Raw genomic sequence first — 12014 nt, forward strand, 5'->3', positions numbered from 1 at the left:
CTTTATCCAGTCTGTCATTGATGAGCATTTGTGTTGATTCCATGCCTTTGCTATTGTGAATAGTGCTGCAATGAACATATAAGTGTGCATGTATCTTTATAACAGAATGATTTATATTCTTCTGGGTATATATCCAGTAGTGGGATTGCTGGGTCAAATGGTATTTCTGCCTTTAGATCTTTGAGGACTCACCACACTGTCTTCCACTATGGTTGAATTAATTTATACCCCCAACAAGAGTGTAAAAGCATTTCTTTTTCTCCACAATGTTGCCAGCATCTGTTGTTTCTTAACTTTTTAACAATCACCATTCTGACTGGTGTGAGACAGTATCTCATTGTGGTTTTGATTTGAGTGATGCACCTTTGAACAGGAGTCAAGCCGCTGAGATGGTTCTCATGTTTTACTTTCCAACACATCTTTCCAATAACCTGCTACCATCTCATTAGGCTTGGTTTTTCCTTGCAACTTCAGAGACCTCAACAAAGAATTGCATAAAAACTAATTTAATAGTTTCTATTCAGGACCAGCAAAAGGAAAGAGACCATCAGCAAGAGAAACAAAGCTATTTTCATTTTATAAAAACATCAAAGTCTCCAATGAGTAGTTATGTTTATTTCAGCTCTCTTTTAATAGTAACAGAGAAAAAATTACAAAACCAGAATTCTAATTTGTGTGAAAAAAATAGTTTTGAAAGTCAACACTTGGATATTTTGCACTGAGCATGTTTATGGAACATTTCTTTATAATTTAATTTTTTTTCCAGGAAGATGCACATAGGTAAGCGGCTTAGGTGCTTCCTAGTTGAATGTGGTTCAATGAAGACAGCATAAGTGTAGAAGTTTGAAGAGTACTTCTCTTCTACTGTCTCTTGGAATTCTTAAAAATGAGTGAAACTAATAAACAAATAAACTCTAAGTATGTTAAGGGTATATTGAATTGTTAGGTTGCAAATAAGAATAATGAAGTGGAAGGAAAATGTTCAAGAAGTAGAAGCTTTACTTCAATTGAAAGTCTCTGAGGTCATTGTTTTCCTCCTGCCTTTTGGCCAGGGGACCTCTTTCAACTTCTTAATTCACTCTCTTTTGAATGTGGCTCCCTCCATATTAGCCAGCATGTCAAGTCTTTCTCATGCTTCACATTTCTGTCTTTCTCTTCTGCTTTCTTCTTCTGCTTGGGCTGATGTGATGACATTAGGTCCACCTGGATAATCCACAACACTCCCATTTTGACATCAATTTATTAGTAACCCTAATTACATCTACAAGGTCCCACTTACCATGCAATGTGCCATATTCATGGGCATATTTCATTATATTCATGGTTCCTGATATCAGGCCAAGTGTTTGATTTAAATATTAAAAAGAGATAACTTACTCAGTTTATTAATCCAAGAGTATTTATTGATTATGTATTTTGGGCCAGCCCTCTTCTAGGTACTAGAGATTGAGTAGGAGGAAAATGTTAGGCAAGAAGGTAGCTAATTCATATAGGATGTTGTTCACCATTGTCAGAACTTAGAGTTTTACTTTAGATATCAAGGGAGATCATTGAAGAGCTTAATGTATGGGATGCAATGATAAGTTACATTTTAAAAGGACACAAACTGGACTTTCTCTTCCAGAAAGATGGAGCAGATGTACTTTTCCCTATTCCACCCACTAAATACACTCCCCAGGTAACTCAAGACAGTCTGAAGGCTTTTGCTGTATATTTCTGCTTCCTCTCTCTTTAGTTTTTCTCAAGCAATACCTCATTAATTCTTTCATACTTCTGTGACTTAGCATCTGTTTCTGCATGATCAAAACTGACCCATATCCCCAAAGGTCTCCTGCATCCCTACCTGTTTCATTATATAGTAAAAACTCAAATTCTCTTTGATAGATAGAATTAAAAAATCCCAGTTGATGTAATCTCTCTCTCTTTTTTTTTTTCTTTTTTTTTTCTTTTTGCCTGTTGATTCGGTTGTATAATAGTTCAAAATAGCCAGGTCACATTCTCAGCTTCAAAACTAAAGAAACAATTGTTGTGTTCCCTTGTCAAAGTATTCATCCCTTGGGACCTAAACCAGTACAGTTTAAAGTTGTGGTGACAAAAAGGAAAATATTTGCTAGGGGATTCCTGGGAGTACTAATAGGAGGAACCACTCTCGTTTTCACCTGGTAGTTTCTGGACCCAGTAATCCTTACCACAAGAGAATCACCACCATGTATTAATTTCTGATTTGGAGCATATAGCCCACACTGGAGGATATTAGCCATCCTTACAATGTGTTAACTAGCTGACACTGTAACCGCACTTTCAAAAGTCCATTATACCATAGTATCAGGCCAGCTCAGTGGATTTCATTATCATAAGTCCAATGATGAAGCTTATTTGTTCTAAAACAAGTTCCTTGGTAGAGAGCCAGGCTCTGTGGAATAGCTTAATGATGAATAGGTTTTCCATAAATCCAAAAATGGTGGTTTTTATTAGAAGCATTAAAGGTAAGGAAGACAAATACATACCCAGAATAAGTGCCTATTCCAAAGAGAACATAATGCTTTCTTTTTCATAGGGGAGTGGTGCCATTTATCTCCCAGGGAGTTATTTTAGAGAATCAGTGTTGATCTCTGCTGTTGGCCAACTGGGCACTCAGAAGTAGTAAAGTCTCGGTGAGTGGAAGGCCATGATACTGAGTGAAAGCGAAACCTCTATCCCTGCTGCCATTACCCCTGTGTTCATGAATACATTGTGAAGGATGGAGTTGGCTGTGGAAAGAGGCTGAGTGACAGCTAAAAATGAGGTATCTGGGCCATTTGATCATCAAGTTCCTCTTTTGCTGAGATCGCTCATTAGTGAGTATTTACATTTGATATAAACATTCCTACTCTCTGCGCCCATTCAGAGACGTCACATATCTCATCCCCAAACCTGCCTGTCATTAATTTTCTAACAGTGTTCATTCCAAATTTTTGACATCAAGCCAAACCATTATCAATGCTCATGAATCTGTGTAGATCCACATACTGAAACATCTCTTTTTTCATGCAAAATGAAAAATCAGGAGTATTGTTCTAAAGTCTGCCAACTGGGAGGATTTCCTTTTATCCTTTAGGGCCACCCCTGAAGTAGGGCTGTAACATTGCAGTTCCTCACTTTTGGGTCATGCCAGAATATTGTGCAGAATACAATTTCTTCATCTGAATATTTTCTTTATCATTCAACTGATCACGGTGAAAGTCTTATAAAATGATTGGTGTAGACTGAGAGAGGAAATGTTTCTCTAGTAGGAGCTGCAGGAGTTGGAGCCATTTGCTTAAACTCATACCTCAGGACCTACTTAGTCTTGATCTCATCTATACTGCTTTTTCCTGATGAAGAAGTATTGCTGTTCCCACTCAACTTTATAGCTTGGAGGCCATATAACTCCCAGTTCATCATGGGCAGCTCAGAAACTTTAGGGCCAATGATAAAGAATTCATCTCTATTTGGCCCCACTGGTAAGCCATACCCATTTTTCAAAAGAGAAATAGTTGTCTACAGTGGACAGCATAACTTTGTGCTAAAATCTTACAGGTCTATGCTGTATTTCACCTGCAGTGGCTGGTCAAAGACTGCATTCAGCATCCCTATCTGCCACAGACACTTCAAACACTGGTGAATCTTCTGGGTCATATGACCCAACTTCAGAACAACTTGCATAGCAGCCTGGAACTGTTGCAGAGTTGTCTTTTGCTTTCGGCCCACTCAAAACTTGCAGCCTTTCACATTTCTTAGTAAATGGTTTGAAAGAACACACTCAAATAAATTAGTTGATGCCCCCCAAATTACGAAGAAGCCTCCAGGTCTCTTTCATCATGGTAGGAGAGGCTTTTTCATCATAAGGGCCAATTCAATGTGCCCCATATCACTGAACTCCTAGAAATTTCATTAAGGTGTGAGATCCCTGAATTTTAATGGGTGTTCTTTCCCACCCTTTGGTCTACATGTGTCATACTGATGCCTCCATTTCCTGCTCACCAGAAAGTTCCAATCAATGTGATATTATTGTGCTAGACCAGCATGATGTCCTATGGGATGAAGAGGTTATCAAAGTGCTTGAAAAGGAAATATGACAGAGGTATGAAGAGTTGAAAACAAACAACTCCTGGTGATCATTACAAGTAAGTGTAAAGAAAAGAAAAAAAAACAACATTCACCCATTAGTTCAATTGCTGCATACCAGGTACCAAGGGCTATGTTGATTTGTTATAGTCAAGAAACCACATCTAGAATAGTCGCTGCAACTGGAGTTACCATCTAATTAAATTTATCATAATTCAGTGCATTCACATTTCTAGTGGCTTCTATTTGGCCTTTCCTACTATAATAGCCCTCACTTGAGTCAGGAAACTGCTTTGAGGAGTCTGCCAATTGTTAAATATGTCTATTTCAAATCTGCTTTCTGGGGCTGAAGAAATTATTGCAGGGTGAGTAGAAGACCTACTGGGGCCACTGTCAGACAGACATACATCAAAGCTTTATCATCTGGCTTCCATAAGCTTCTGTCTGGACTTGTGAAGAAGAAGTGGGCTTTTTCTCCCCCAAATTAGATTTAATTTAGAGTTAAGGTCCAAAAATTCCCTCAAAGTTTGGTGTTTTCCTTTCCTCAATGCATAGTAACTTTGGTAAATGTCCATAGTCCCTTTGGGGAAGGCTAGGAAGAAAAGTTACAAGATAAATTTAGGCAATGTAGAAAGGTCACTCCTCAAGGAACCCAGGCCTTCTTTCATTTAAGGGATGTTGTGTCTGTAAACCAGCTCAAGTCTGGGAATTGGTTGAGGGACCAGAACTCTCTATGATGGTGGTTTAAGTTAGATTTCTGTTTACTATGCTAAGAATTGCTCTGATTATTCAAATAAAGTACAATGTTTGTAGCCTGCCATATATTTTACTTTTATTTTATTATTTTTTTGAAATGGAGTCTCTGTCACCCAGGCTGGAGTGCAGTGGCATGATCTCCACTCACTGCAACCTCCGCCACCCAGGTTCCAGTGATTCTTCCTGCCGTATATTTTAGAACTAGGATAACCATAATCAATAAACCAGTACCAAAGATCATTGCTGTTCAAACTAGTCTGCCTCCCATTATAATAACCATACCTACTTTGACTCTGGCAATTAAGACCTGAAACGTGGCTCTTATTATACTGGGATTGCATCATCCCAGACTGAATTCAGATGACTTATTTTAATAGCAGCATTTCCCACTATTACTTCTGGCCTCTAGAGAATAGCTATGACAGAGGACTTCAAGGGTGCTGGTATTCCCCTTCCAGTGTAAGTATACTTCCTGGGATGTACAATTGGAAGATGAGTAAGGGGGTCACATATAACAAAATCATTATAGCATTCATTTTCCCTAAATATTTGATAACTGTTTCTTTTTTTTTTTTGAGACAGAGTCTCGCTGTGTCGCCCAGGCTGGAGTGCAGTGGCGCGATCTCGGCTCACTGCAAGCTCCGCCTCCCGGGTTCACGCCATTCTCCCGCCTCAGCCTCCCGAGTAGCTGGGACTACAGGGGCCCGCCACCATGCCCGGCTAATTTTTTGTATTTTTAGTAGAGACAGGGTTTCACCGTGGTCTCGATCTCCTGACCTCGTGATCCGCCCACCTCGGCCTCCCAAAGTGCTGGGATTACAGGCGTGAGCCACCGCGCCTGGCATTTGATAACTGTTTCTACAGAATACCAAGGTAACTCTGATATCTCAATTTCCATCAGCATAGACCACCTTTGATTCTGAGTTTCAGTCAAGCAATTGAACCCACAGAGCCACTCCAAGCTACTTTAGTTAACACATTAAATTAAATCTGGTTAATTCCACTGTATCATTCAATTTGGCCATTTCTTCTACCTGATTTGAAACTCTTAGAATCCGTTATGATAAATATTCTCTAGGTTTTAGTTAATGTATGTTGGCAAAATATTGCAATTAGTATGTATGCTACCTTCTCCCAGATCATATTTTGTGCTCAATACCTTAGATTTTAATGTAATTATCTGTTAGGAGTAAGGAAAAGAGGAAGATTACGATTTTTGTGTAAGGCAACTGTCTTGGAAAGGTCATTGCAGGTTATTTAGGCAAGAGGAGTCTAATCTCCTTAGATTGCAAGAATGGGATGCTTCTATGACAAGGAAGTCACAGTGGAATTTGGAGGTTCACAGTCCCTAGCTTCTCTGGAATGTGCCCAGATGCCCTTATGGCAATTTTCATGGTTTTCACTTTTTTCCAATCAATGCTCTCACTTTAACGTAAGAGAATCTGTGGCTGTGAACTCTATGTATGATATAATTTAGCCACCTGAATGATTGGACTTTGAGTTTGATAACAAAACCCTCAATCCTTTAGCTATAGGATATAGGACTTTTTGAAGGGAGACACAGAAGTTTCCTGGTTCATTCCCCATACCTTGAGCTGGGACTTGAAAGTTCCAAGCTCATTATTTTTTTTTTTTAGTTGTTCAAATGGACACAAAGATGGGAACCACAGACACTGGGGACTATTAGAAGGGGAGGTAGTGAGGAGTGCAAGGGCTAGAAAAACTACCTATTGGGTACTATGCTCAGTACCTGGGTGACGAGATCAGAGATCAGTCATACCCCAAACCTCATCATTTTATTTCTTTCTTTCTTTCCCTTTTTTTTTTTGTGTGTGTGTGTACTTAAAAGCAACCAACCAATCTCATAATTCCTATACTCTTTATTTCCACTAAAACTCTGGCCTTCCATAGGCACTTGACTCCAGATAGCAAAAAGTGATCTTATGGCTCATCCCTAGAGCTGGGAATGGGGTTCCATCCAACACAAATTACGTGACCAAGAATGAGTGGGAAGCAAACTCTTTCATGGGAAACCAGGGTACTGTTGGTGGAAGAGGTGGGAATGAGATCCCAAACACATATCCAGTTACCCTGTCCATAGTCAGTCTTTTCTCTCTAAAGTTGAATATAACATATGTTGTACTGTTACCATTATCTATAAGCTCCTTTTCTGAGGACTAGACTACAATGGTGCAGGCTCAAGGCTAGGACAGGGGAAAGAGGTAGAAGAACACAGTAGAAGAGAACATAAGGAGACAAGGTTCTTGAATGATTAGGAGAAGAGGCCAAAAAAGATGAAATTATAGAACGACTAGACTGGAAGTGGAGATGTAGGCTCTGCCTACTTTACAATTTTGCTTAGAACTATATCCAATAACAATTGAGCAGATGTCCTCATATCCAGCACTAAATGCCCAGGCTGGAGTACAGTGGCACAACCTTGGCTCTCTGCAACCTCCGCCTCATGAGTTCAAGCAATTCTCCTTCCTCAGCCTCCTGAGTAGCTGGAATTACCGGCATGCACCACTATGCCTGGCTAATTTTTGTATTTTTAGTAGAGATGGGGTTTCTCCATGTTGGCAAGGCTGGTCTCGAACTCCTAACCTCAAGTGATCTGCCCGCCTCAGGCTCCCAAAGTGCTAGGATTACAGGGCCCAGCCTCAGCACTAATTTTGAAGAATGGATAGAAACATTTTTTCACACTTAAAAATATTCCAGTATTTGAAAAAGAAATGGTGTTTGGTCAAATATGTTTGAATGAGAACATGCTCTGTCCTGAAATATAGGTGAATTCTTATATTCTGATATCATTTGAGTAATAAGTACTGTTACTCCAGTTATTTAATCATTGTTTTCGCTCTGTTTTCATTTTCATATTGGAATTGTATTTATGTTACTTGCTGGGGGCAGGGGGGGAATCTCACTCAGCTTTCTGCTTGTCACATGTCACAGTTGCTTCCAGGTTATTGAAACATATGATGTTATTTTCCCAATGGTGATATCCTGATGGATGTTATTTAAGATTCTTATATCTAGGACATATTTCATGGACTTCTCATAACTGAAGTTATATGATTTGTGGTATCTCCTAAAAAATGTCCCAGCACCGGCAAATGCTAATCAAGCCTCCTGCAACTCCCAAAACCTTGAACAGTCGCTAAGAAATCTCAGAATAGAGCTTTATCGATTCTTGAGTAGACTTAAATTGGATGAGCTGGGTAATAGAAGCATCTGGCTTTAACTTCTGTTTTTCTGAAGTTTTACTAGAGGGATTTTTATAATGACTCTATTTAACCTCATTTTCATTTGTCAGTGTCAGCATCTTCTGTGGAAGTCTTACGTTTACCTTCTGTGACCTGCTGGTCATTTAGCAGAGCTAAATGTATAAGAATACCTTTCTAGGCTTTAGTGTCAGTTACTATCTTCAGGAAACAAATCCTAAACACGTGCTCTTAACTGCTCAGATTCCCATCTTGCTTAACTGTCAGACTTACCTAGATAAAGTCAGTCACATTGTGTAGGTTTTTAAAAGAAACATCTCTAGTCATTTCAAACTGTCTTTGCAGCTTAATGCCATATTTTTATATTGTGGACAATTTTGAAGGGACTTGAACATTAGGTCAACGGGTTTGTATTTAATTTGGTATGAAATGGAACAAAGATAAAAATGCTGTAAAGATAACAGTATATAAATATAATTTCATTGTTTCTGTGATTGAGAAATCCCTTGGAGTTTAAGCAGACCGCTATTTGTTCATCAATATATATTTCCTTCTTTTTCTATGTTAATGAAATCTTCGGTAAACCATTTGACCAACCAGCCTCCATCATATTTAAATATGGCCATATGAATTATTTCTTGCCAAGATTTGTCATTTAAAGGGAGGGAGCTTTCTCTCTTTTGGACTCCTTCATTCTGCTGCTACCTGGGATGTAGACAGGACACTAATATATCTTTGAATCTGTAGATGCTCCAGGGATGAGAGAGGAACAACAAGAAAAATGGGAATTTTCTGGACCACTTGCCGTATGACCATTACAGGAGAAAGAGAAAATCGTCTATCATATCTGAGCCATTTTAAAATTTAGTTATTAGTAATAGCAGCTCAACCTGTATTATAATGCAATCTGGTTTTACATATGTAAATAACTATTCTTTAGGATGAAATGTTCCTATGAAGAACAATGCAAAATATAAATACAGTAGCTTTAGTAAAAAAAAATTACATCTAATGGTATTGCCTCTTTCTGTGTATTATTCATGGTAATGACAACCACAGATATGGTGAATAGGTCTATTGTGCATAATTTCCCCTTGCATTATTTTCCAAAGTTCATTCAGTCTTATACTATCTTCATAATACTTGTTATATCCATGTCTGCTTTTAATATTACTGATTTAATATTTTTTAAAAATTGACTTTATATAACTGTTTCTTTTGTTTTTTTTTAGAGACAGAGTCACACTCTGTTGTCCAGGTTGGAGTGCAGTGGCATGATCAAAGTTCACTGCAGGCTCAAACTCCAGGGCTCAAGTGATCCTCTCACCTCAGCCTCCTAAGTAGCTAAGACTACAAGCATATGCCACAATGTCCAGCCAATTTTTAAAATTTTTGTAGAGACAGGGTCTTGCTATGTTGCCCAGGCTGGTCTTGAACTCCTGGCCTCAAGCAATCCTCTGGTCTTGGCTCCCCAAAGTGCTGGGATTACAGGTGTAAGCCACCACTCTGGCCCAATATAACTAATTTAAATAACTTAGATGACTTGGAGTAGACAGTCTTTATAAAAATAAATGTATTGAAATCACACAATAATTACAACAAAATGCTATTGCCTGCCAAAGGCCTTGGGCCTAAGGCTTTCTCTCTATTTATTTGAAGAGATCAGTTAGATTTAGAGGCCTACTGGGCCGGGTGCAGTGGCTCATGCCTGTAATCTCAACACTCTGGGAGGCCAAGGCGGGTGGATGATTTGAGGTCAGGAGTTCTAGACCAGCCTGGCCAACATGGTGAAACCCCATCTCTACCAAAAATACAAAAAAATTAGCTAGGTGTGGTGGTGCACGCTTGTAATCCCAGCTACTCAGGAGGCTGAGGCAGGAGAATCTCTTGAACCCGGGAGACAGAGGTTGCAGTGAGCCAAGATTGCACCACTGCTCTCCAGCCTGAGTGATAGAGTGAGACTCTGTCTCAAAAAAAAAAAAAAAAAAGAAAAAAAAAAGATTTAGAGGTGTATTTAAGACATGCTAGCAAGAAGTTGTAACTTTCTTTTTGGTGTAATCAACTGAAAGATAATTAAAATGGAAAATCTTTATGTGATTAAATTTTATATAATGCTTCATGAAACCTAAAATCATTCAGGAGTACACATTGTGCACTTCAGAAAATGCTGCTTTTTGATTCTTTTTTTTTTTTTCACAAACAAATAAGAGACAGTAATGATCAGAAAAAATGTTGGGGAAGGATGTGTCAGCCTTATTACAGCTCTAGCATGTAGTATTGTTTTAATCCCTCCCTTTATAATCCACTTCTCTGATAGTAAATGGGAAGGTAGTCAACTACCTAAACATTAGCAATCCTTGCTACTTGTTATATTTTCTCAAATTTTTGCCTTTGAACTAGACATTACATAATTTTAATAAGTAACTTCAGCTAACCAATTTGTGATCCCCAGAGTAAAATCCCGACATCATTGTGGCAAAAGCCTGAAATGAATGTCAGGAGCAAACTGGCTAAGCATGAATGGACATTTAACCTCATACATGAAAATAATAAGCATCATTAAAGAGGAAGAGGAAAAGAGAGTGGGTCATTTTACAAGCAAATACAGACTTAATTTGAATGGTTTCTGATTACACAGCACTTTCCAAACCTTTGAGTAATTCTTGTTTGGAAGCTGCAAGAATACAGTGATGTGCTACTGCTGAAATGGCCTGTAAATGTGATGCTAAGAAAAGTGCAGGCATAAGAGTGCTTTCTGTAAAAAGGAATATGATATGGGCAGATGTTATATGAGCCTCCCAGCGGGGCTTCTCTTACACACGGGGTCATCAGAAAAGGTCTGATAATTTTATTGGCATAGATTTGTCATTAACAGGGAACTTGAGCATGTTCTGAAGGATTTTAACATCCATAATACACCTTATGAATGTTTCTGCTTGTAATTTAAAGTTCTGCATTCACAAAACAGTCTTTTTTCATAGTGCTTACCAGAGGAGTGTGACTTTCATTTGTTCAGGTTCTCCATTTAACACTTTATATTATGCATCCCTCACAGAAGAAACATTAAAACATTTTCTTGTCTGTTTGCATTTTAGATTTCATCTGGATTTGCACAACACCATGACTTAAAGATTATCCTATGTGCCAGATAGCTGTGTATTCACAGTCATCTATTTTCTCGTGCTCCTGGGCTCGCAGAGAGACATTGCTCGCCCTTAAGTGTTGTTATATAACTGAGGTCTAGTAAATGGAATGCAAAAGAGTTATATGCCACTTTCAGTCTAGTCCAAGCCTGTCCAACCCATAGCCTGCATGTGGGCTGCATGTGGCCCAGGACAGCTTTGAATGTGGCCAAACACAAATTCGTGAACTCTCTGGAAACATTATGAGATTTTTTTTTTTTTGCAATTTTTTTTTCTTTTTCAGCTCATCAACTATCGTTAGTGTATTTTATGTTTTGTCCAAGACAATTTTTCTTCTACCAGTGTGGCCTAGGGAAGCTAAAAGACTGGACACCCTGGTCTAGCCCATAAGGGCAACTGCATGATCTTCTCTGCTCTCTCTCTTCCTCTGTCAGTCCTCTAATGTCAAAGAATTCAGCCAAGGACTGGGAGTTCTGAGGAGATGGTGGGACTACAGAACATAAACAGCCCCTCTTCCTCTCACTCATTGGACTTCATGTGAGCAAGAAATAAACTTTTATCGTGTTAATCTACTTATACTTCGAGGTTGTCCCTAAACGAATGCAGAATGATCAAAAGTATCAGGTTACAGATGATAGTTTTAAAGGCTGAAACAGAACCAGAGATTGTCGAAACCAGGCATTTACCTGACAGATCTGCGTGCAACCCGTGCAGCACATCACCACCTTCCTGCAATACACAACAAGCAGGAAGGAGAGTCATGCCCTCTCCACCATCTGTCCAGGACTTTAGGATCAACATCTCTTCA

The 12014-nt window shown here is 38.8% G+C and overlaps 1 long non-coding RNA gene across 1 annotated transcript in view; it reads left to right on the forward strand.

The window, feature by feature from the left end:
* Positions 1-11493, forward strand: part of LOC105375482 (uncharacterized) — a 50714-nt gene extending 39221 nt beyond the window's left edge. The window contains exon 3 of the long non-coding RNA XR_927924.2: positions 11159-11493. This is a non-coding gene — a long non-coding RNA (uncharacterized LOC105375482). The remainder of the gene's footprint in view (positions 1-11158) is intronic.
* The last annotated feature ends 521 nt before the right edge of the window (positions 11494-12014 follow it).

This window comes from Homo sapiens, chromosome 7 (genome assembly GCF_000001405.40).
Source record: "Homo sapiens chromosome 7, GRCh38.p14 Primary Assembly".
In the NCBI taxonomy this organism is placed as follows: Eukaryota; Metazoa; Chordata; class Mammalia; order Primates; family Hominidae; genus Homo; species Homo sapiens.